This window comes from Homo sapiens, chromosome 10, assembly GCF_000001405.40.
Source record: "Homo sapiens chromosome 10, GRCh38.p14 Primary Assembly".
NCBI classification, from domain to species: Eukaryota; Metazoa; Chordata; class Mammalia; order Primates; family Hominidae; genus Homo; species Homo sapiens.
Window position 1 is genome coordinate 87,014,502 of NC_000010.11, and position 23,772 is coordinate 87,038,273.

Here is a 23,772-nt window from a genome sequence, read left to right on the forward strand (position 1 = left end):
ACCACCATGCCCAGCTAATTTTGTATTTTATTTTAGTATAGATGGGGTTTCTCCATGTTGGTCAGGCTGGTCTCCAACTCCTGACCTCAGGTGATCCACCCACCTTGGCCTCCCAAAGTGCTGGGATTACAGGTGTGAGCCATTGCGCCTGGCCCTTTTTTTTTTTTTTTTTTTTTTGTGATGGACTTTTGCTCTTGTTATCCAGGCTGGAGTGCAATGGCACGATCTCAGCTCACTGCAGCCTCTCCTCCCAGGTTCAAGCGATTCTCTTTCCTCAGCCTCCTGAGTAGCTGGGATTACAGGCATGCACCACCATGCCTGGCTAATTTTGTATTTTTAGTAGGTATGGGGTTTCTCCATGTTGATCAAGCTGGTTTTGAACTCCTGACCTCAGGTGATCCACCCACCCCGGCTTCCCAAAGTGCTAGGATTACAGGCGTGAGCCACTGCGCCTGGCCTGAAAAAAAATTTTAAAGTTTGAGAAAATACAAAATTTTCATAGTCTCCAAGTATTTCTCCTAAGATCTTTCCCCCTATGAGGGGGAAAGATAGTAACTTTACAATGGAGAAACCCAGCAGAAACCTGAACCAAATGAACAAGTTCAACATCATCAGTAAGAAAAACTATCAATGCCATAACTCTGATGGAATGCACTGGGAAGGATTCCACATCATTTTTGAGCTGTAATTGCCAAAAGTGCGTAACTTCAGTCCAATCATGGAAATACATCAGACAAACCCAAATCGAAGAACATTTGACAAATAGTGATCAGTACTGGTTCAAAATGTCACGGTTATGAAAGATAAGGAAAGATTGAGGAACTGTTATTGCAGTCCTACAAAACGGCGAGAGACTAAGAAATAACTAAATGCAGCGTGATCCTGGGTGGAATTTGGGAACAGAAAAAGGACATTAGTGGAAAAAGTGGTGAAACTCCAATAAGGTCTTTTGTTTAGCGAATATGTTCATTTTAAATTAGTTAAATTATTTAAATATATTTAAACATTATTTAAATGTATTTAATTAAATTAATAAAATTGGTTATTTTGTGAAATAATTTTAATATAGTTAAATATGCGAATGTGGATTTCCTGGTTCTGATCACCGTACTGTGGCTAAGAGGTGAATGTTCAGGGAGGCTGGGGGAGGAATAAATGGAAATTATACTATTAAGTTGGAAGAGAGAAACCTACCCCATCAGTCACGAAACCCTCACATTCATGGCAGTGTGTCGGAGGTTCCAGTATGAATGGCATTTCCCAGATGTCAGCGCGAGGTCCTGTGGAGGGAGTGGGGCTCCCTGGGAATCTAGTGGAGAGCATTCAGGTCTCCCTTCCTCAGGAGCCTGCCCTTCCTGCACAGAAGCGTCAGCCTCACCTCTGTACCACTGCCCCTCTGCCTCTCAGAACCCACTTGGCTTCAGGAAGATTCTACTGCCAGCCTCCTTTCCCGGATACAGCCTCCGGGGACTCAGCCTTGCCTTCTCAAGTGCTCCAGCCTCTCTTGGGAAGGAGTGCTCTCAGATACCACACCGCTGGACTTCCCCGGGCACCACCTGCTCCTTCTTCACTTCTCCAGCTCTGCATTCTCACTCTGAGGGTCCTCTCCTGCTGGGAGTGTGTGTTGCTGGCAACAGTGAAGATTTCCCCCCTGGGTTGCCCCCCATGCCCTGTTCTTCTGCACTTCCCTGGCTTCCTGCGTTGGTTCTGCTGGTGTCTCCTGCTTTTGGGTTTACGTGGCTTCCCAGCTTCCTAATTTCTCTGAAGTTGAGTTTGATGTGTGTGTTGATGATGGGCTTTTTCCTGCTCCTCCTCCTTCTCTTCCTCCTCCTCCTCCTCCTCCTCCTCAGTCTTGTTGTTGCTCCATATAGTTTCCAGAAGGAGAAAAGGGACACTGTAAAATTAAGCTGCTGCAGGCTGGGCACAGTGGCTCATGCCTGTAATCCCAGCCCTTTGGGAGGCCGAGGCAGGCGGATCACCTGAGGTCAGGAGTTCAAGACCAACCTGGTCAACATGGTGAAACCCCATCTCTACCAAAAATACAAAACTTAGCAAGGCGTTGGTGGCATGTGCCGGTAATCCCAGCTACTCGGGAGGCTGAGGCAGGAGGATCTCTTGAACGCAGGAGGCAGAAGTTGCAGTGAGCCGAGATCATGCTACTGCACTTCAGCCTGGGGAACAAGAGCGAAACTCCATCTCGAAATAATAATAATAATAATAATAATAATAATAATAATAATAATAATAATGCCATGTTTCTATCAGACCCAGAAATCCCGCAGAGTGAGCTGGAATTCTGTTTCTCTGTTTCCCCTCCATACCCACTGGCTCCTCTCTGCCCACTCCCTCTTGGACTGCATCACCAGGGTGCCTCACTGTCTGGCCCTAGTGGAATTCAAACAGTGGAGGATGTCATAGGAGGTGGGAGAGAGAGAGGAGAGGTGGTTATTCGCTCAGATTCTTCCTTGCTGGTTTGGCAGTGGCCACATCTTTCTACTGATGGCTGCAGCTCCTGATGATCCTCCTCTACCTCCACAGCTCTCTTTGGGATCTGTGGACACCTTTCCTGTCCCTCTAGACCCAGGGAGATAACAGCTCCCACTCTTGCTGGTCCAGGACATTCCTCATCTCTTACTGGTTCCCTTAACTCGGTCCACACTTCTGTGAACAGCCCCTTTCCTCAAATACCCATTCCAATATGTCCTCTGGCTTCCACCAGGAGCCTGACTGATACCCACAGGTGGGTGAATGCTGGCATGCTGCTGGGCCCCTCTTCCTCTGGTGACTGGCCAGCCAAGTCTCCAGGAGTCTCGTTAGGGTGGGCAGGTGGTGGGCACAGCACAAACTGTGAGCTCAAATCCACAGAGCAAAAGTGGGAGAAGACACTGGCAGGATGGACCGCCACAAAACTCTTGGCATTCGTGACGTCTGTCCTTTAAATCACGCAAGGCATCATCATGCTTCAGACATGAGACAGCCTAAGTATTTAAGTATTTCAAATAAACAAATTGTTTTTCAGAATTGGTCATTGCTAAGTTGGCAAATTGCTATTGGAAACGTTGGCTGTCCTTGACTCAATGATTCAGCCAGCTAGTCCCTTGCCAAACTAGTTTGTTGGGCAAATTCCACCTTGAGAATTTATCTGCTCCTGTCAAAGCCAGATTCTCCCTGCCTGAGGGGAGGCTGGACTTGACCTTCTGACTCAGGATATGCTGACTTGGGTCCCTAGGTCCAAGGGCGGCCCTCTTGGGCCCACCGTGGGCTGGACCTCTTCCATGATGGGGTGGTGGAGGGCAGGCCCCACCTGATTCACCCTTGACCTCATCCAGGCAGGTGAAGTTCCCTGCAGGAGTCACCTGAGCCCAGCCCCTCAGACCAGGATCCATCCTGTTTAGGAGGATTTGGGGCCATCTCATGTTCTTTGGCTAGAAAGGGGTCCCACTCTTAGGGGTCTGCCCTCTGTGGGGCACAGATGGCTTGCTGGGGCCCATGGACTGGGCTGGGTGGATGGGAATCTGGTCACAGCAGCAGCGGCTGGAAGGCCAAGAGGGAGGGCACCAGGGCCTGGGACCCATGTCTTGTCCTGGGCCTCCCCGGGCCTCTTGCCTTCTCCCCAGCAGGCATTTGGGATCTGTGTCTGGACCCAGCCTTGCCCAGAAGGCCATGGTGTGTTGTCATTAGAATCACAGTGCTCACACCAAGGCAGTGCATTAAATTAGCAGGGCAGGGTCTCATGGGCAGGGGACCATGTGGAGGGGGTGGGGGAAGGACAGTTGTCCCCCGAGGCTGCGGTGGGCCTGGCTCTGGTCTGGGCAGTGGGCCAGGGTCCTGCTGTGTGGCTGAGCTCTGACAACAGGCTGTCTGAGTCTGGTGAGCTCCTGAAAGCGGGGACTGGTGGAGAGTACCCTAGGGTGGGAGCTCGTGAGGAGGGGGTCTGTGGGGTCTGGAAGCCATTCTAGAGCAGGCAGATGACATTTATCAGCGGAACAGGCATAGAAAGGACCCTTGTGCGAGTGGGGGACACACAGCCTCAGAAGAAACAGGGAAGGGGCTTTGACAGGTCCAGGGAGAATCCCTGAGGTTTCCTAGAACAATTCCCACCAGCCATGTCCCAGGTGTCCCCCCATCCCCCAGGCCTCTGCAGTGCCAGCCCAATGCCCTGGGCAAAAACATCCTGGACTCTGGCTGTTACAAAAGGAGGACAGGGTCATCTGGACCCGCCTGAGCTCCAGGCCCCCGACTTTCACAGCCCCTTCTGGGTCCAGAAGTTCATACGTATATAAATGAAAAATGTGCAAGAATCATATTATTGTATTCTTTTTCATAAAGAGGGCCCCTCTAAATTGTTTAAGCCCCAATTCACCCCTGCCCAAAGGAGATAGCAATGGCATGTGTGGGGCCGTAGTCTTGAGACCCAGAGGTCCTGCTGCCCACGATACCCACTGTCCACCCTAGGGGGACTGGCCGTAGCCCTGGAGCCCGCAAACACCATGCAGGAATGCAAGAGGGTCTCAGCTCCCGAGTCCCAGGCTGGGAGGGCCCACAGTCCAGTAAACTAATCAGGCCCCAACACACCCAGGAGAGCAGCTCCAGGAGCCTGCATTGAAGAGAGAGCCTCAGACCCCTGCCACAGGCCTGCACCCCAGAAGTAGGAGGATGGGAAGACCTCTCCTTGGCTCCTGGCCAGCGGAAGTCACATTCCCCAGCCCTCTGGCTCCAAGGCAGCCTCACGTCCCAGTCACTCCTTGGCCCACCCTACCGGTTGGTCAGAGCTCACTGCCAAAGGGCACCTCAATGATGAGTGGAGGGAACAGGTGTTTACCAGGAGCTTGCATGCTTTGTCTCAGGGACGATTAGTGACACAGCCAGGAAGGCACGCTATCCCCATTTTACAGATGAGGAAACGGAGGCTCAGGTTGGGCTGGTGACTAAGGGAAGCAGCATGTGGCAGGTGGCTTGAGGCATGTCTGTCCATCATGAGTAACTAGGGAGCAGCCCTGCCACTCCTCATGTGATGCACCAGGAGCCAGGGAAGCTGCTTTCTAGGGGATTCTAGCTAAGGCCAGAAGCATCTCCCTGAGTGGTGGTGGAGGCCTCTGTCTACTCCTCCAGGACTGCCAGGGGATAGGAGGGCACTGCTGGCCTCACAGACACTCTTGGGTGAGTGAGCATCAGCTGAGCAAAGCCAGGTGACTACACTTCTGCCCAGTGCTGTGCCCCCCTCTGACTCAGGCAAGGCACCACCCTGAACGCCCCACCCTGTCCCATAGAGGCCACAAACTGCTCTGCAGAGCCAGGGTCTCCAGGAATGGGGAGGGCAGTCACCCTCACTCCACTTGTGTTCATGACCCAAAGGACTGCCCAGGTCTCCAGGCCCATAGAACCCCTAAACCTCTTACTAGGCCACACTGGGGACCTTGAGCAGCAGGCTTGGAATCCTAGGCCTTGTCTCCAGGTACATATCAGTACCCAGGCTTGGGAAGTTTTGGTCTCGGGGGGCTGGCACTCAGGCCCTCTGCCTCAAGGAAGAGGCATGTCCAGATCTCTCCTGTCCAGCCCTGCTCCCTGCCCCTATCCTTCACGGGGTCCCTAGGACAGGGTTACAGAAGCCTCAGGCTGTCAGGGGATGCTGCCACCCCAGTGCCAGGGTGGCTCCGCCCAGCCCCTTCCTGCTGCCGCCCTCGCTGACTCACCTGTCCAGCCTCCTACTGGGCTGGGGCAAGGGCTTGTTGCCCCAGAGCCTAGACAGGCACCAGAGGCAGCTATAAAAGCATGTTGGGCCAGTCCTCAGCATCCTAGTTCACCACTGTCTGCTGCCACACGATGCTGGGAGGCCTGGGGAAGCTGGCTGCCGAAGGCCTGGCCCACCGCACCGAGAAGGCCACCGAGGGAGCCAGTGAGGACCTGGGGCTCCTTTCTACCTGGGCTGGGGGGATCTGGGGCAGACTGGGTCTGTGGGAGGCGGATCTAAGTAGGCAGGTGAGGACCTGGGAGGAGGCCTTGGCCCCTCAGGAACCCTGGTCCCCTGCTCTACCAAGTCAGCACGGAGTTGAGGGGTGCAGACCTGGGGAGGTCTCCTGGGGGCAGGGCATGAGTCCTGGTGCTGGGTGAACACTGGCAGCTTGGACCCTTCCCTCTGGAAATCTGGGGAGCCTTTCTTGTCAAAACAGCCTATTCTGAATAACCTATGCAGGAAAAGGAAGATGGATTTTTATTTTTACCATAACTTTAAAGCTTCAAAGATTTCTAAACAAGTCACCAAGTCTGTTCAAAGTCAAAAAGGGCATTTTCAATTTCATCCAAGTCCCCTGAAGCATGTTTATTTTTATTTTTATTTGTATTTGAAATGGAGTCTTGCTCTGGCACCCAGGCTGGAGTGTAGTGGTGCGATCTCGGCTCACTGTAACCTCTGCCTCCTGGGTTCAAAGTGATTCTCATGCCTTAGCCTCCTGAGTGTCTGGGATTACAGGCACCCACCACCATGCCCAACTAATTTTTATATTTTTAGCAGAGACAGGGTTTCGCCATGTTGGCCAGGCTGGTCTCAAACTCCTGACCTCAAGTGATCCATTCCTCTTGGCCTCCCAAAGTGCTGGGATTGCAGGCGTGAACCACCGCACCTGGTCCCGAAGTGTATGTTGTATTCAGAGGTCAGCAGCTATGTGTGGGGAGGCCCAGCCAGGAGCCACTCATGGGTCATCGTGTGAAAAACAGTCTTGCCTGAGTTTGTGTCCTCTTTCTAAATGGCAGCAGACGCGTATTTTGTTTTTGACTCTGCAGCTGGTGTGGACCACCTGCTTTAACCTTTCACTAGCCTCTGAGTTTTGTATGATTCCTGTTGGGAGAAAAGCTGAGTGTTGGGAGAGAAGCTGAGGCAGGGCTTGCTAGATTGGCTGGCTCCTTGCTTCTAGCACTCCCATTTTCTCAAGTAGCCGTATGTTTCTCATTCACTTGATACACCGTTTCCTTTCAACCGCCACATCCTCACCACCTGTTTCTTTGTTAGATCACCAATAAATAGCATGGGTTCCCAGAACTCCGGGCCTTCGCAGCCTCCACACTCGCGATGGCGCCCCGCTCCCATTTTCTCTCTCAAACTGTCTCTTTCTCATTCCTTTGACTCCTCTGGACTTGCCGCCCCCGCGACCTGGTGTTGGGTCTCATCACCCCAACAGATTCCCATTCTAAAGATGAGGGAACCAAGAGGTGGAAGGTAGAGTTAGAATAAGAACCATTTCTTCTGACTCTGAAATCCTTCAGTTCTAGCATGCTACCACCTACACTTTAAAAAACTCTGAAGTAGGCAGAGAATTCCCTTTTGTTGGAGGAATTGCTTTGAGAGACCTGGTTTTACTGGATGAGGCTTTGGAAACCAACCTGAGGCAGGCGCTAGCACATCCTGAGAGGGGTGTGACCTGGCACAGAGGCCCAGCCTGGGCTTCATGTCTCAGCTGGCAAGATGGCCTGCTCATTGCCATTCCAGGCCGGGCAGGGCCAAGGGGCTTCAGGGACCCATGCCCTCATGGGGCTCACTGAGCTCGTCTCCCGGCAGCCAAGGCCCTGGCGTCTCCGAAGGAAGCCAGCTGTGGGGGAAGGTCCTTCTCATGAGCCAGTCTGTCCTGGCTGGGGGTGGCATCCCAGAGCCCCATCTAGGATGTCCAGGGATGTATAGGTCCATTGTGAGGATAAGCCAGCACTGAGCCCTCACCCTGGACTGGGAGGGCAGTGGGCCTGCTCTGAGCCCTCACCCTGGACTGGGAGGGCAGCGGCTCTGCTCTGAGCCCTCACCCTGGACTTGTCTCCTCTGTTCAGTTCATGCCGTGGAAGAAGTGGTGAAGGAGGTGGTGGGACACGCCAAGGAGACTGGAGAGAAAGGTACAGCTGGCTGAGGTCGGGCAGGGAAGGAGGGAGGGAGCAAGGGAAGCTAGGTGCTGGGCCAACCTGTTCTTTGACTAACCAGGTCAAACTCTGCCCCCAATGTTGCAGCCTTTCAGAGCCTCTTGGCTGGGGCAGTTATCTATGCTCATCAGAGGCCACAGACTGTACTGCGTTAGGGCACTGTCTAGATGGTTCTGTCTGTGGAATAAGAAGACAAAGTCACACAAGACTATGTGACAGCACACTGGGACAAAACATTTAACATGGCAGGGCGCGGTGGCTCACGCCTGTAATCCCAGCCCTTTGGGAGGCTGAGGAGGGTGGATCACGAGGTCAGGAGATTGAGACCATCCTGGCTAACACGGTGAAATCCCATCTCTACTAAAAATACATAAAAATTAGCCGGGCATGGTGGTGGGTGCCTATAGTCCCAGCTACTTGGGAGGCTGAGGCAGGAGAATGGTGTGTACCTGGGAGGCAGAGCTTGCAGTGAGCCTAGATCATGCCACTGCACTCCAGCCTGGGCTACAGAGTGAGACTCGGTCTCAAAAAAAAAAAAAGAAAAAAAAAATTGCTGGGTGTGGTGGCTCACGCCTGTGATCCCAGCACTTTGGGAGCCTGAGGTGGGCGGATCACGAGGTCAGGAGATCCAGACCACGGTGAAACCCCATCTCTACTAAAAATACAAAAAATTAGCTGGGCACGGTGGCGGGTGCCTGTAGTCCTAGCTACTCGGGAGGCTGAGGCAGGAGAATGGCGTGAACCCGGAAGGCGGAGCTTGCAGTGAGCCGAGATCGTGCCACTGCACTCCAGCCTGGGCGACAGTGTGATACTCCGTCTCAAAAAAAAAAAAAAATTTAACATGTAAAATTCTATGTTAAATGTTAAATTGATGTGTGTGAGCTATGAGTAGAACTATGTACAAAGCATATGTATATCTCATTCCTTTTCAACAAAATAGATTCCAGGTAGATGAAGGACTTAAATTTACATAAATGAATTTATTAACTTACTAGGAGATAACCATCTTAGCTCAGGCTGCTATTATAAAATACCATAGGCCAGGTGCAGTGGCTCACGCCTGTAATCCTAGCCCTTCGGGAGGCCAAGGTGGGTGGGCCACCTGAGGTCAGGAGTTCAAGACCAGCCTGACCAATATGGTGAAACCCCGTTGCTACTAAAAATACGAAAACCAGCTGGGCGTGGTGGCACATGCCTGTAATCCCAGCTACTTAGGAGTCTGAGGCAGGATACTCCCTTGAACCTGGGAGGCGGAGGTTGCAGTGAGCTGAGATTGCACCACTGCACCCCAGCCTTGGTGACAGAGCAAGACTCTGTCTCAAAAACAAAAACAAACCATAAACTGGGCGACTTAGAAACAACAGAAATTTCTCACACTCCTGGAGGATGGGAAGTCCAAGATCAAGGAAGGCACTGGCAGATTTGGCATCTGGTGAGGGAGTCTTTCTGGTTCGTGGATGGGCCCAGCTCTGTCCTCACATGGTGGAAGGAGCTAGCTCTCTGTGGTCTCTTTTATGTGGGTGCTAATTTCAACCTCCCAAAGGCCCCACCTCTTAATATCATTACATTAAGACTGAGGATTTCAACGTATGAGTTTTGAGGGGGAAGACATCATAAACATTTAGACATAGTAATAACATAAAAGACTTTGGCCTAATCTTGGAGAGGGGAGAATCTTTAGAACCATGACAAAAAAATCAGCGCCATAAAGGAAATATTAAGTAAATTTGACAATCCAAAACTGAAATTTTCTATAGCCAAAAAAAAAAAAACTATAAACCAAGCCAAAAGAAAAATTACACACTGATGAAAAATATTTGTCATAAAAATGATAATCCAATATAACAACCCAATATAAAAATGGTCAAAAGACATAAGCAGGCATTTTCCAGAAAAAAGGATAAGCAGGCAATGTACCCATGAGTAGATGCTCAGTCTCACTCACAGTTGAAGAAATGCAAGTTGTTGGGGAAATTAAAACCAAATTCAAATTCATTCTGCAGTAATCCTGCTGCCCTTGGTCCCATCGGGCCACTCCAGAGACTAATCCATTAAGATGGCCACATCCCACAGGCCACTCAAGGGGACACAAGTTCAGCGGGTGGATCACTAGGACATTCTTCCTCTTTCTTTCCAACAGCCATTGCTGAAGCCATAAAGAAAGCCCAAGAGTCAGGGGACAAAAAGATGAAGGAAATCACTGAGACAGTGACCAACACAGTCACAAATGCCATCACCCATGCAGCAGAGAGTCTGGACAAACTTGGACAGTGAGTGCACCTGCTACCACGGCCCTTCCCCAGTCTCAATAAAAAGCCATGACATGTGTACATTGAGCGCTGGATTTATACCCATTTGGATGGAAACACTAGGCAAAGTATTTTCTTGTTGATATAACATATTTTACATATTTATGGAGTACATTTAAGTATTTATTACATGCACAGAATAGTGATCAATCAGGGTGTTTGGGGTGTCTATCACCTTGAATATTTGGTATTACTATGTGTTGGGTACATTTCAAGTCCCTTCTTCTAGCTACTTTGTTTTTTTGTTTTTGTTTTTGTTTTTGTTTTGAGACAGAGTCTTGCTCTGTCGCCCAGGCTGGAGGGCAATGGTGTGATCTCGGCTCACTGCAACCTCTGCCTCCCAGGTTCAAGCAATTCTCCTGCCTCAGCCTCCCGAGTAGCTTGGACTACAAGCGCAGGCCACCACGTCCGGCTAATTTTTATTATTTTTATTTTTTTATTTTTTTAATTTTTAGTAGAGATGGGGTTTCACCATGTTAGCCAGGCTGGTCTCGAACTCCTGACCTCAGGTGATCTGCCTGCCTGGGCCTCCCAAAATGCCCAGGGATTATAGGCATGAGATACTGTACCTAGCCTTCTAGCTACTTTGAAATATACAATACATTGCTGCTAACTATAGTCACCCTAGGTGAAGTATTTTTCAACAGAAACACTTTGCATGTCCCCCGTGTCTCCTCTGTTGAGGTGGACACTGGCACTGGGGCCCCTGCTGCTGGCTGGATAGGTCCTCATGATGAATCAGATGCTTCTCTGTCATGCTAAGTAAGATCTTTCATGTCAGGAAGGGGCTCTTCTGGAAGAATAGTTAGTGTCTGTGCTACATTTCCTAAAAAACTGTTTCCCCGGAAACTATATGTAACTTTCAGGTGCCTCAGTGCTTCAAGACATGCTAAGGGAGGACCCTCATTTGTCTTGCATGTTTTTGGGATTTTTCTTGAGATGTTTTTGCAGGACTCAGGGCAGATAACAGACCAGCTTGATGAAGAATTTAGCAAGGAAGGCCCCCACTGAGCTGCTTCCTGTTCTCGCAGAGATCAGATAAGCATTTCTGCTGGAGAGTTACAGAATCTGGTCAAGGAGAGACTGAGTCACTGCTCAGTCATCCTAGAAGCTGCTGTTGATTTTTTTTTTTTTAAGACGGAGTTTCACTCTGTTGCCCAGGCAGAAGTGCAGTGGCACGGTCTTGGCTCACTGCAACCTCTGCCTACTGGGTTCAAACAATTCTCCTGCCTCAGCCTCCCCAGTAGCTGGGACTACAGGTGCCCGCCACCACTCCTGGCTAATTTTTTGTATTTTTAGTAGAGACGGGGTTTCACCATGTTAGCCAGGATGGTCTCGATCTCCTGACCTCATGATCCACCTGTCTTGGCTTCCCAAAGTGCTGGGATTACAGGCGTGAGCAACCGTGCCCAGCCCAGAATATTTAGCGACTGATGTCAGGCCTAAGTGTTGATAGTGGGTATTAGTGGGCAAGATGCCTGGCCTTCTCTCTTTCTTCTCATGAGCAAGTCAGTATCATAGAGGTTAAACATATCTTTAAGTAGCATTTAACTTAACATTTTTTTAATTAAAAAAAAGAGAAGTAATTTGTAAAAATATTGCATCCCCTATTTCTCTTGCTGGAAGCTATTTGTTCTTAGCAGAAATGAGAAGAAAAGGTGTTTTGCTTAAAAAATAAGTGAGCTGCTCACCCTTTTTCTGGATCTCATCTAGAAGTGGCCTCACAGTTTGTGAACAGCCCAGGAATAGCCAATGTCTTAGCTTTGGAATGTTTGCCACTTTCCAGCTACAGTGGACCTTGTATCCTGGTTTGGTTCCTGATGACTTTCAAATTCTCCTGATCCAAACGCAAGCTCAGAGGCATCAGCACATTGTTGGTGGCAGTACAGACTGAAACACCCTTTTTGGATGGCGGTTCCTCTCACAGGACTTTATTCGCCAGGTGTGCACAGGCACACACAGGTGCCCAAAGGATAAACACACAGATCTACTGTAGCATATTTGTATTACTGAGAGATTAGAAACATCCTAAAATGTTAACCAAATCACTTGGATGAAAAGTTTTGCTCTGCTTATTAGGTTTGGCATACAATATGGAGGTGACATCTATTACTTCCAGTGTATTATAGAGTTTAGCTTGAAAAATGAGACCTGTACCTAGATGGGCACCAAAAGGGACTGGTTAACAAATATTGCATATACAGGGGTATGGGGCGGCTCCAGGGCCAGGGATGGGACGGCCGCAGTTGCGGCAGCTCCAGGACGAGCAAGTGGATCCCGGGAAGCGCTGTGAGCTCCCGAGCCAGCCGGGAGGACGCTTACTACAGCTGCTCAGAAGCACCGCTGGAAGCTCAGATGTGAGCGCCCCAGCCAGAAGCCTAGAGGGGTACAGGGAAGCTACCGAGAAGCCCCTCCTGATGCCCCAGGGAGCAAGCCAACTCCTTCCAGGCTCCAGGAACACCACAAAGCAATATGAAACCTGTTCATGAGAGGAGTCAGGAATGCCTTCCACCAAAGAAACGAGACCTCCCCACAACCAGCTGCTCCACTAACCACATACCCTCCAGTGATGCCTCTGAATGGTTCCCAGGGGTTGTGGTGGCCGGGCAGAGCCAGGCAGGAGCCAGAGTCAGCCTGGGGGTGATGGAGCTGTGGCCATCACCGGTCTGACAGTGGACCAGTATGGCATGCTGTATAAGGGGGCTGTGCCACCTGCCACCTTCTCACCAACTGGACTCCCATCTGTGTGAATATGAGCCCCTTGCCCCTGGAAAAAAATATTGCACGTACAGTTGATTAAATGGAATGCTCCATGGCTACTAGGAAGGATGAAAATGGGTTGGGCATGGTGGCTCACGCCTGTAATCCCAGCACTTTGGTAGGCCGAGGTAGGCAGATAACCTGAGGTCGGGAGTTTGAGACCAGCCTGACCAACATGGAGAAACCCCATGTCTTCTAAAAATACAAAATTAGCCGAGCGTGGTGGCTCATGCCTGTAATCCCAGCTACTCAGGAGGCTGAGGCAGGAGAGTCACTTGAACCTGGGAGGCGGATGTTGCAGTGAGCCGGGATCGTGACATAACACTCTAGCCTGGGCAACAAGTGCAAAACTCCATCTCAAAAAAAAAAGAATGATGAAAATGTCTGGGCATAGTGCCTCACACCTGTAATCCCAGCACTTTGGGAACTGAGATGGGAGGATTGCTTGAGTCCAGGAGTTCAAAAACATAATGAGACTTGTTTCTCCAAAAAAAAAAAAAAAAAGTTATTTTATTATTTATTTATTTTTGAGTCAGGGTCTTGCTCTGTCACCCAGGCTGGATTTCAGTGGCATGATTTCGACTCACTGCACCCTCCACCTCTTGGGCCCAAGTGATTCTCCTGCCTCAGCCTCTCGAGTAACTGGGATTACAGGCACCTGCCACCATGCCCAGCTAATTTTTGTATTTTTAGTAGAGACGGAGTTTTACCATGTTGGCCAGGATGGTCTCAAACTCCTGACCCCAAGTGATCTGCCTGCCTTGGCCTTCCAAAGTGCTGTGATTACAGGCATGAGCACCAGGCCAAAAAAAAATTTTTTTTTAAACTTAGCTGGGTTAGTCAGGAGGCCAAGATGGGAGGATCCCTTGAACCGAGGAGCTTGAGGCTGCAGTGACCTGTCATTAGGCCACTGTACTCCCGTCTGGGCAACAGAGTGAGATGCTGTCTCAGGAAAAAAATATTTTAAAAAAGAATGATGAAAATGTAATATGTCATTAGGGAACATGTCCTAATAATGTAATAACATATATATGTAGAATAAGTTCATTTTTATAAAGCAAGTATATAATTGTATAAGAGTACAAAAAAATGGCCAGGCATAGTGGCTCGTGCTTTTAATCCCAGCATTTTTGGAGGCCAAGGTGGGCGGATCACCAGAGGTCAGGAGTTCGAGACCAACTTGGTCAACTTAGTGAAACTTCGTCTCCACTGAAAATACAAAAATATTAGCTGGGTGGGCATGGTGGCAGGTGCCTGTAATTCCAGCTACTTGGGAGGCTGAGGTGGGAGAATTGTTTGAACCCGGGAGGCAGAGGATACAGTGAGCCAAGTTCGTGCCACTGGACGTTAGCCTGGGTGACAGAAAAAAAAAAAAGAAGACAAAAAAAAAAAAGAATAAACCTGGTATCATATATGTAGCACACATATTAGCAGTGATCATCTTTGTGATTCTATGGGAATATGGGAAATCCTCATTTTCTACATTACATATTTACATGATGCTTGAATTGAAGAGAAAACCAATACGGATATTTTTTAAATTGTGGTTGTGGAGGGCAATACTAACTTATTCAAGATTATTCCTAGTAAAGGGCTACTCAAAATTTACTGGTTTGAAAACTTTGTTGTCACATGATAATTGAGAGCATTTGGGAACTCTTACAGCAAGTTGATATTGCCCAGACTTCCAGAAGTGTCATCAGTAGATGGTTCTTGTTGAATAGGGTATAGACCGCCTTGGGTTACTGAGCTTGCATGGCTAGTTGCATGTAAACTAGTCACATGCAGTAAAACCACATACCACACCAGGCGCAGTGGCTCAAACCTGTAATCCCAGCACTTTAGGAGGTGGAAGCAGGTGGATCACCTGAGGTCAGAAGTTCAAAACCAGCCTGGCCAACATGGTGAAAACCCTTTTCTACTAAAAATACAAAAGTTAGCCAGGTGTGGTGGCACATGTCTGTAATTCTGGCTATTTGGGAGGCTGAGGTGAGAGAATTGCTTGAACCTGGGAGGCAGAGGTTTCAGTGAGCCGAGATTGTGCCACTGCACTCCAGGCTGAGTGACAGAGAGTGTCTCCATCTCAAAAAAAAAAAAAAAACAAAAAAAAACAAAAACAAAAAAAAGGATGCCAAATCAAACATAACATTTCAGAAATCTATCATAGGATAGCCAGGCACGGTGGCTCATGCCTGTAATCCCAGCACTTTGAGAGGCTGAGGCAGGCAGATTATGAGGTCAGGAGATCAAGACCATCCTGCCCAACATGGTGAAACCCCGTCTCTACTAAAAATACAAAAATTAGCCTGGTGCAGTGGTGGGTACCTGTAGTCCTAGCTACTCAGGAGACTAAGGCAGGAGAATCACTTGAACCCGGGAGGTGCAGGTTGCAGTGAGCCAAGATCACCCAGCCTGGGCAGCAAGAGCGAAACTCTGTCTCCAAAAAAAAAAAAAAAAAAAAAAAAGAAATTTATCATAGGATTATATGAGGAGACCAATTTTATTTATATAGGAACTATCTATCTTTTTACTAGATCTCTGAGCTCTGGGCAGAGCCCACACTGAATCCTGGATCTCCAAAAAGGGAGAATTATTATGAGGCTAGAATATGTGATGCTTTTTCAGTGCACTTAAAAAATTTTTTTAAATGAAGACACTTCTGTGTCCGGAATTGGTGGGTTCTTCATCTCACTGACTTCAAGAATGAAGCTGCAGACTTTCGCGGTGAGTGTTATAGCTCATAAAGGCAGTGCGGACCCAAAGAGTGAGCAGCAGCAAGATTTATTGCAAAGCGCGAAAGAACAAAGCCTCCACAGCGTGGAAGGGGACCCGAGCTGGTTGCTGCCCCTGGCTGGGGCAGCCTGCTTTTATTCCCTTATCTGACCCCACCCACATCCTGCTGATTTGCCCATTTTACAGAAAGCTGATTGGTCCATTTTACAGAGAGCTGATTGGTCTGTTTTGACAGGGTGCTGATTGGTGTGTTTACAATCCCTGAGCTAGACACAGAGTGCTGATTGGTGTATTTACAATCCTATAGCTAGACATAAAAGTTCTCCAAGTCCTCACTAGATTTGCTAGACACAGAGCACTGATTGGTGCATTTACAAACCTTTAGCTAGACAGAGAGTGCTGATTGGTGTGTTTACAAACCTTGAGCTAGACACAGAGCACTGATTGGTGCATTTACAAACCTTGAGCTAGACACAGAGTGCTGATTGGTGCATTTACAAACTTGAGCTAGACACAGAGCACTGATGGGTGCATTTACAATCCTTTAGCTAGACATAAAAGTTCTCCAAGTCCCCACCAGATTAGCTAGATACAGAGTGCTATTGGTGCATCCACGAACCCCAAGCTAGACACAGAGTGCTGACTGGTGCATATACAATCCTCTGGCTAGACATAAAAGTTCTCCAAGTCCCCACCTGACTCAGGAGCCCAGCTGGCTTCGCCTAGTGTATCCTGAGCCAGGGTTGTGGTCAGAGCTGTCCACCAGTCCCGCACCATGCACCTGCACTCCTCAGCCCTTGGGCGGTCGATGGGACTGGATGCCACGGAGCAGGGGGTGGCACCCGTCAGGGAGGCTCAGGCTGTGCAGGAGCCCACCACTGGGGGGTTCGGCATGGCCAGCTGCAGGTCCCGAGCCTTGCCCCGCGGGGAGGTGGCTGAGGCCCGGCAAGAATTCGAGTGCGGCGTGGGCGGGCCGGCAGTGCTGGGGGAACTGGCGCCCCCTCCGCAGCTGCTGGCCTGGGTGCTAAGCCCCTCACTGCCCTGGGCTGGCCGGCCACTGCAAGTGCAGGGCCCACCAAGCCCACACCCACCCAGAACTCGCACTGGCCTGCGAGTGCCCCCCTTGTTCCCACCCGCACCTCTCCCTCCACACCACCCCGCAAGCAGAGGGAGCTGGCTCCAGCCACGGCCAGCCCAGAGAGGGGCTCCCACAGTGAAGTGGCAGGCTGAAGGGCTCCTCAAGCATGGCCAGAGTGGACGCCGAGGCCAAGGAGGTGCTGAGAGCGAGCGAGGGCCCCCAGCACATTGTCACCTGTCACTTCTAATGTCTAAACTACACTCTTCCTTAAAAACCAGAGTAGTCTTTGGTGCAATAATTCTTTTAGTCAATAAGTCAGGTAACACAATACAAAAGCAAGCAGTTTAAGAGCTGAGATGAACTTGTCTGTTTACACTCATGGGGTTTCATAAGGAAAAACAGGTTTCTCCCCAAAAGGGAGTCTGGTGCCTTCTCTGCTTTCTTGAAGGAAAGCCAGGCTATTATAAACTAAAATATTTTAGGTGCCTCATGCAGCAGAGGGTGCAAGAGAAAGGAGAGACAGCAGAAGTAAATGAAAAAAAAAAAAGAATTCAGTCAAATGAGAAAAAAAATCTTTAGGTTAAAAAAGAGAGAGAGACAAGGTCCTAGGAGAAAAAAAAAAGTGAATGTCTTTTCAATATAAACACACACACATACACACCCACACACACATACACGCACAAACACACACACATGCACACATCTTGGATGTTAGCTTTTAGTTAAGCTGACTTTTAATCATTGAGCTCCTTTAAAAAAATCTTTTTAAATCTCATTACCATAATTCAGCTAGAACAAATTTCTGCTATTTCAGAAGTACCAAGTATCAAACCAAAAATGGCTTGATTTAGGAAACACACCCAAGCTGTCGTGGTGGAAAAAAAGAAGCCAGAGCCCTTAGCTATGGAACTGCAGTGTGGGGTGACAGCCATTGCTCTTTCGGTTTGGCCAGGCTAGCAAAAAGGTGGCCTCGTTATGTAAATAAAGCCCATTAAGTAGTCAAAATAAAAAATCTTTCCTGTTTTTTTTTTCTTTTCTTTTTTTTCCTTTTGTTGGCCGTTTTTCTCCCCCACCACAGTGTGGGAATTTAGCCACTTCAGAGGTCTTGTTCCCCATAATTTGGAAGTTTCCTTTGGATTTGATCAAGTTGGATAGAGTTGATCAATCACAACGGGGAAAAGACTGAAACAACAACAAAAACAGAAACAAACAGACAACAACAACAAAAATAATTAAGCAAAACAAAGATGGCACAACTTATGCAACTACTGAGTGCTGTAATGGTAAAGAGAAATTACAACCAACTGGTTGTTAATCTTGACCTTAGCCAAGACAAACCGCATTTCAGTTACCCATCCTTAGGTAAGGCATGGGTCTCAGGCTGAAGACTGCTCTTTACCATCCTAGAAGCAGGAAAAAACTCAAATTTGTCTTCCCCATTGGACGCAAGCTCAAACTCCATAAAGGAGTTACCTGCATTTTATCATCATCGAAGCAGGAAAAACTTGCCTTTCTTGTGTTGGAAGCTAGTAAAACTCCAAAAAAAGGAGTTGTACAGCAAAATAAACTTTAGATCTTGACCAAATTTTGAAAGATCAGTGATTCTCTGGAGGGGTTGCTTCCAGGTCTCAGCAAATTGTCCTATTGGTTTGAGCCATAAAGATAGTTCAAGCTAGTACCGAGCACTGATAGGAGATTTGTCAAAGGTCAGGGGCACCTCCACCCAGAATCCCTTCATGGTTGCCAAAATGTGAGCCTTGAATATCTGAGAAAGGTCTCAGTTAATTTAGAAAGTTTATTTTGCCAAGATTGAGGATGCACACCTGTGACACAGCCTCAGGAGGTCCTGATGACATGTGCCCAAGGTAGTCAGGGCACAGCTTGGTTTTATACATTTTAGGGAGACATGAGACATCAATCAATATATGGAAGATATACATTGGTTCTGTCAAGAAAGGTGGGACAGCTCAAGCAGCAAGAAGGCTTCCAGGTCACAGGTAGGTGAGAGACAAATGGTTACATTCTTCTGAGTTTCTGATTAGCCTTTCCAAAGGAGGCAATCAGATATGCATTTATCTCAGTGAACAGAGGGATGACTTTGAATAGAATAGGAGGCAGGTTTGCCCTAAGCAGTTTCCAGCTTGACTTTTCCCTTTAGCTTAGTGATTTTGGGGCCCCAAGATTTATTTTCCATTCACTGTGTGTGTGTGTTTGTGTAGGTATACATACATATATGTGTGTATATATATATATATATACACACACACACAAACAAACAAATGAAAAATCTCATTAAGAACAGCAAGCGGTATGGTATTTTTAACTTGCCCTATTCTATTCTCATCCCCTCCTCACTGGCTCCACTGCAGCCTTGAAAATTAACAGAATGGGATTGGTGAGAGAGGGCATGCTTGTCTTGTGTCGGTTTTCAGTGGGAATGCTTCCAGTTTTTGCCCATTCAGTAAGATGTTGGCTGTGGATTTGTCATACATGGCTCTTGTTATTTTGAGGTATGTTCCTTCAATATCTAGTTTATTGAGAATTTTTAACGTGAATGGGTGTTGATTTTTATTAAAAGCCTTTTCTTCATCTATCGAGATAATCATGTGGTTTTTGTCTTTAGTTTTCTTTATATGACAAATCACATGTATTGATTTGTATTTTTTTTTTTTTTTGAGACGGAGTCTTGCTCTGTCGCCCAGGCTGGAGTGCAGTGGCGTGATCTCGACTCACTGCAAGCTCCGCCTCCTGGGTTCACACCATTCTCCTGCCTCAGCCTCCTGAGTAGCGGGGATTACAGGTGCCTGCTACCACACCCAGCTAATTTTTTTTATTTTTAGTAAGGGAAGAGACCACCCCTCATATTGTCTTATGCCCGATTTCTGCCTCCAAAGAAAGAAAAAGTAAAAACTAAAAGGGAGAAGTGAAATCCACAAGCAGACAGCCTGGTGCCACACCCTGGGCCTGGTAGTTAAAGATCGACCCCTGACTTAATCAGTTATGTTATCTATAGATTACAGACATTGTATAGAAAAGCACTGTGAAAATCTCTATCCCGTTTTGTTCCAATCTAATTACTGGTGCATGCAGCCCCCAGTCATGTACCCCCTGCTTGCTCAATCAATCATGACCCTCTTGCGTGCACCCACTTAGAATTGTGAGCCCTTATAAAGGACAAGAGTTGCTCACTCAGGGAGCTTGCCTCTTGAGACAGGAGTCTTGCTGATGCCCCCAGCCGAATAAACCCCTTCCTTCTTTAACTTGGTGTCTGAGTTTTGTCTGCAGCTTATCCTGCTACATTAGTAGAGATGGGGTTTCACTGTGATAGCCAGGATGGTCTTGATCTCTTGACCTGATGATCTGCCCGCCTCAGCCTCCCAAAGTGCTAGAATTACAGATGTGAGCCACTGTACCCGGCCCAATTTGTATATGTTGAACCAACCTTGCATCCCAGGGATAAAGCCTACTTAACTGTGATGGGTAAGCTTTTTGATGTGCTGCTGGATTCAGTTTGCTGAGTTTTGTTGAGAATTTTTGCGTTGATGTTCACCAAGGATATTTGCCTGAAGTTTCCTTTTTTTGTTGTGTCTCTGCCAGGTTTTGGTATCAAGATGATGCTGGCCTCACAGAATGAATTATGAAGGAGAAAGAGTCCCTCCTCCTCACTTTTTTGGAATAGTTTCAGCAGGAATGGTACTAGCTCTTCTTTGTACATCTGGTAGAATTCAGCTGTAAATCTGTCTGGTCTTGGGCTTTTTTTGTTGTTGTTAGGCTATTTGTTACTGATTCAATTTCAGAGCTCATTCATTATTGGTCTGTTCAGGGATTCAATTTTTCCCTTGATCAGTCTTGGGAGGCTGTATGTGTCCAGGAATTTGTCCAATTCTTCTAGATTTTCTTTTCTTTTTCCTTCTTTTTTTTTTTTTTTTTGAGACAAAGTCTCACTCTGTTGCCCAAGCTGGAGTGCAGTGGCACGATCTCTGCTCACTGCAATGTCCACCTCCTAGGTTCAAGCGATTCTCCTGCTTCAGCCTCCTGGGTAGCTGGGACTACAGGCACGCGCCACCATGCCTGGTTAACTTTTTTATTTTTATTTTTAGTAGAGATGGGGTTTCACTATGTTGGCCAGGCTGGTCTTGAACTCCTGGCTTCAAGCAATCTGCCCGCCTCAGCCTCCCAAAGTGCTGGGATTACAGGTGTGAGCCACTGCACCCGGCCTCATTTATTCTAGATTTTCCTGTGTGTGCATAGAGGTATTCATAATATTCTCTGATGGTTATTTGTATTTCTTTGGAGTCAGTGGTAATATCTTCTCCATTGTTTCTGATTATGTGTATATGGATTTTCTCTCTTATTAGTCTAGCTAGCAGTCTTTCTATTTTATTGATTCTTTTCAAAAAAATCAACTCCTGGATTCATCGATCTTTTGAATACTTTTGTGTTTCAATCTCCTTCAGTTCTGATTTTGGTTATTTATTGTCTTCTGGCTTTGGGGCTGGTTTTCTCTTGGTTCTTTTATTATTTTAGTTGTGATGTTAGGTTGTTAAATTGAGATATTTCTAACTTTTTGATGTGGGCATTTAGTGTTGTAAATATCCATCTTAAAACTGCTTTGGTTGTGTCCCAGAGATTCTGGTATGTTGTATCTTTTTTTCTCATTCATTTCAAAGAACTTCTTAATTTTGGCCTTAAGTTAATTATTTACCCAGAAGTCATTTAGGAGCAGGTTATTCAGTTTCCATGTAATTGTATGATTTTGAGTGAATTTCTTAGTCTTGATTTCTAATTTGATTTCACTATGGGCTGAGAGGTTGGTTGTTATGATTTGAGTTCTTCTGCATTTGCTGAGGAGTATTTTGTGTATGATTCTGTGACTGATTTTGGAGTATGTGTCATGTGGTGATGAGAATGTATATTCTGTTATTTTTGTGAGGAGAGTTCTGTAGATGTCTATCAAGTCCATTTGATCCAGTGCTGAGTTCAAGTCCCGAATATCATTGTTAATTTTCTGCCCCAGTGATGTATCTATTACTGTCAGTGAGATGTTAAAATCTCCCACTACTATTGTGTGGGAGTCTAAGTCTCTTTGAAGGTCTCTAAGAACTTGCTTTATGAATCTGGGTGCTCCTGTTTTGGATGCATAAATACTAATACTTAGAATAGTTAAGTTTTCTTGTTCAATTGAACACTTTACCATTATGTAATGCCCTTCTTTGTGTTTTTTGGTCTTTGTTGGTTTGTAAAGTTTGTTTTGTCTGAAATTAGGATTGCAGCCCCTGATTTTTTTCTGTTTTCCATTTGCTTGGTAGATTTTTCTCCATCCCTTTATTTTGATCCAGTGGGTGTCATAGCATGTGAGATGAGTCTCTTGAAGATGGCATACCAATGAGTCTTAATTCTTTATCCAGATTGCCATGGTGTGCCTTTTAATTGGGGCATTTAGCCCATTTACATTCAAGGTTAGTATTGATATGTGTGGATTTGATCTTGTCATCCTGATGTTAGCTGGTTATTACGCAGTCTTGTTTGTGTGGTTGCTTTATGCTGTCACTGCTCTGCATACTTCAGGATGTTTTTGTAGTGGCTGGTATGGTCTTTCCCTTTCACATTTAGTGCTTCCTTCAGGAGCTTTTGGGCAGATCTTGTCATAACAAATTCTCTCAGCATTTGCTTGTCTGAAAAGGATCTTATTCCTCCTTCACTTATGGAGCTTAATTTGGCTGGATATGAAATTCTCAGTTGGAATTTCTTTTTATTAAGAATGTTGAAGATAGGCTGCCTATCTCTCCTGGCTTGTTGGGGTTCTACTGAGAGGTCCACTGTTAGCCTGATGGGGTCCTTTTGTAGGTGACCTGACCTTTCTCTCTAGCTGCCTTTAACTTTTTTTTTTCATTTTGACCTCAGAGAATCTAATGAGTATGTGTCTTGGGGATGATCTTCTTGTGAAGTTTCTTACTAGGGTTCTCTGCATTTCCTGAATTTGAATGTCGGTCTCTCTAGCTAGGTCGGGGAAGTTCTCATAAATGATATCCTGGAATACACTTCCCAAGTTGCTTATACTCTCTCTATCTCTTTCAGGGACACCAGTGAGTCGTAGATCTGGTCTCTTTACATAATCCCACATTTCTCAGAGGTTTTGTTTCTTCCTTTTAATTTTTTTTTCTTCATTCTTGTCTGCGTGTCTTCTTTCAGAAAGCCAGTCTTCAGCCCCTGAGATACTTTCTTCCACTTGGTCTATTCTGCTATTAATGTAATTCTTGTAGTGTGTTTTTTAGCTCTATCAAGTTGGCTACATCCTTTTTTGTACTGGCTATTTTTTCTGTTGGCTCTTGCATTGTTTTATCCTGATTCTTAGCTTCCTTAGATTGGCTTTCAACATACTCCTGCATATCGAAGATCTTCATCCCAATCCATATTCTGAATTCTATTTCTGTCATTTCAGCCATCTCAGCCTGGTTCAAACCCCTTGCTGGAGAGGTGGTGCAGCCGTTTGGAGGAAAGAAGGCACTCTGGTTTTTTGAGTTGTGAGAGTTCTTGCACTGGTTCTTTTTTATCTTTGCAGGGTTATTTTCCTTCAATCTTTGAAGCTGCTGACCTTTGGATGGGTTTTTTTCCTTTTATCCTATTTGACGACCTTGAGGGTTTCACTGTGGTATAAGGTGGATTCAGTCAACTGGCTTCATTTCTGGAAGAGTTTAGAGGACCAACACTGAGCTCCCAACTCCTGGACTGTGTGCTGTAACCCTGGAGGACTTGTATCGAGCCCCAACTTTGTTCTGTCTCCTCAAGGATAAGAATCCACTGCACTGGGTGAGCCAAGATGCTCTCAGACTGCTGGTCACTACACTCTAACGGGTGATGTCAGCCAAAGCTTTTAGTAGTGCAGAGACAGTGGAATCCATCCCCATTTGCATGTGCCAGCGGCAGTGGCAGCAGCAGCATGGCTGCAGTAGGGTGCTAGTGGGTGCTGGCATGCCTGCCTCTGTGGCAGCA

General features: G+C 47.1%; 1 protein-coding gene across 1 annotated transcript, besides 5 other annotated features; it reads left to right on the forward strand.

Annotated features, from left to right (window-relative positions):
- Positions 5,312 to 5,812: an enhancer, noted in NCBI's record as "H3K4me1 hESC enhancer chr10:88779570-88780070 (GRCh37/hg19 assembly coordinates)". NCBI's record gives its function as "activates a minimal SCP1, AML or CMV promoter by ChIP-STARR-seq in naive H9 embryonic stem cells {active_cell/tissue: H9 hESC(naive)}" and the evidence as "EXISTENCE:reporter gene assay evidence [ECO:0000049][PMID:30033119]".
- FAM25A (family with sequence similarity 25 member A) lies at positions 5,793 to 10,229 on the forward strand. Its single transcript, NM_001146157.3, has 3 exons — positions 5,793 to 5,896; positions 7,813 to 7,875; positions 10,040 to 10,229. The coding sequence occupies exons 1-3, from the start codon at positions 5,824 to 5,826 to the stop codon at positions 10,171 to 10,173; spliced, it is 270 nt and encodes an 89-aa protein (NP_001139629.1). The 5' UTR covers positions 5,793 to 5,823; the 3' UTR covers positions 10,174 to 10,229.
- Positions 5,813 to 6,313: an enhancer, noted in NCBI's record as "H3K4me1 hESC enhancer chr10:88780071-88780571 (GRCh37/hg19 assembly coordinates)". NCBI's record gives its function as "activates a minimal SCP1, AML or CMV promoter by ChIP-STARR-seq in naive H9 embryonic stem cells {active_cell/tissue: H9 hESC(naive)}" and the evidence as "EXISTENCE:reporter gene assay evidence [ECO:0000049][PMID:30033119]".
- Positions 10,012 to 10,864: an enhancer, noted in NCBI's record as "OCT4-NANOG-H3K27ac hESC enhancer chr10:88784270-88785122 (GRCh37/hg19 assembly coordinates)". NCBI's record gives its function as "activates a minimal SCP1, AML or CMV promoter by ChIP-STARR-seq in naive H9 embryonic stem cells {active_cell/tissue: H9 hESC(naive)}" and the evidence as "EXISTENCE:reporter gene assay evidence [ECO:0000049][PMID:30033119]".
- Positions 10,865 to 11,715: an enhancer, noted in NCBI's record as "OCT4-NANOG-H3K27ac hESC enhancer chr10:88785123-88785973 (GRCh37/hg19 assembly coordinates)". NCBI's record gives its function as "activates a minimal SCP1, AML or CMV promoter by ChIP-STARR-seq in naive H9 embryonic stem cells {active_cell/tissue: H9 hESC(naive)}" and the evidence as "EXISTENCE:reporter gene assay evidence [ECO:0000049][PMID:30033119]".
- Positions 11,091 to 11,385: an enhancer, noted in NCBI's record as "tiled region #4381; K562 Activating DNase matched - State 5:Enh". NCBI's record gives its function as "activates a minimal TATA promoter and a strong SV40 promoter by Sharpr-MPRA in K562 cells {active_cell/tissue: K562}" and the evidence as "EXISTENCE:reporter gene assay evidence [ECO:0000049][PMID:27701403]".

Coding starts and splice junctions, on each gene's coding strand:
- FAM25A (NM_001146157.3), top strand. CDS start 5,824: ATGCTGGGAGGCCTGGGGAAGCTGGCTGCCGAAGGCCTGGCCCACCGC. Junction 5,897..7,812: donor GAAGGCCACCGAGGGAGCCA/GTGAGGACCTGG, acceptor TCCTCTGTTCAG/TTCATGCCGTGGAAGAAGTG. Junction 7,876..10,039: donor CAAGGAGACTGGAGAGAAAG/GTACAGCTGGCT, acceptor TCTTTCCAACAG/CCATTGCTGAAGCCATAAAG.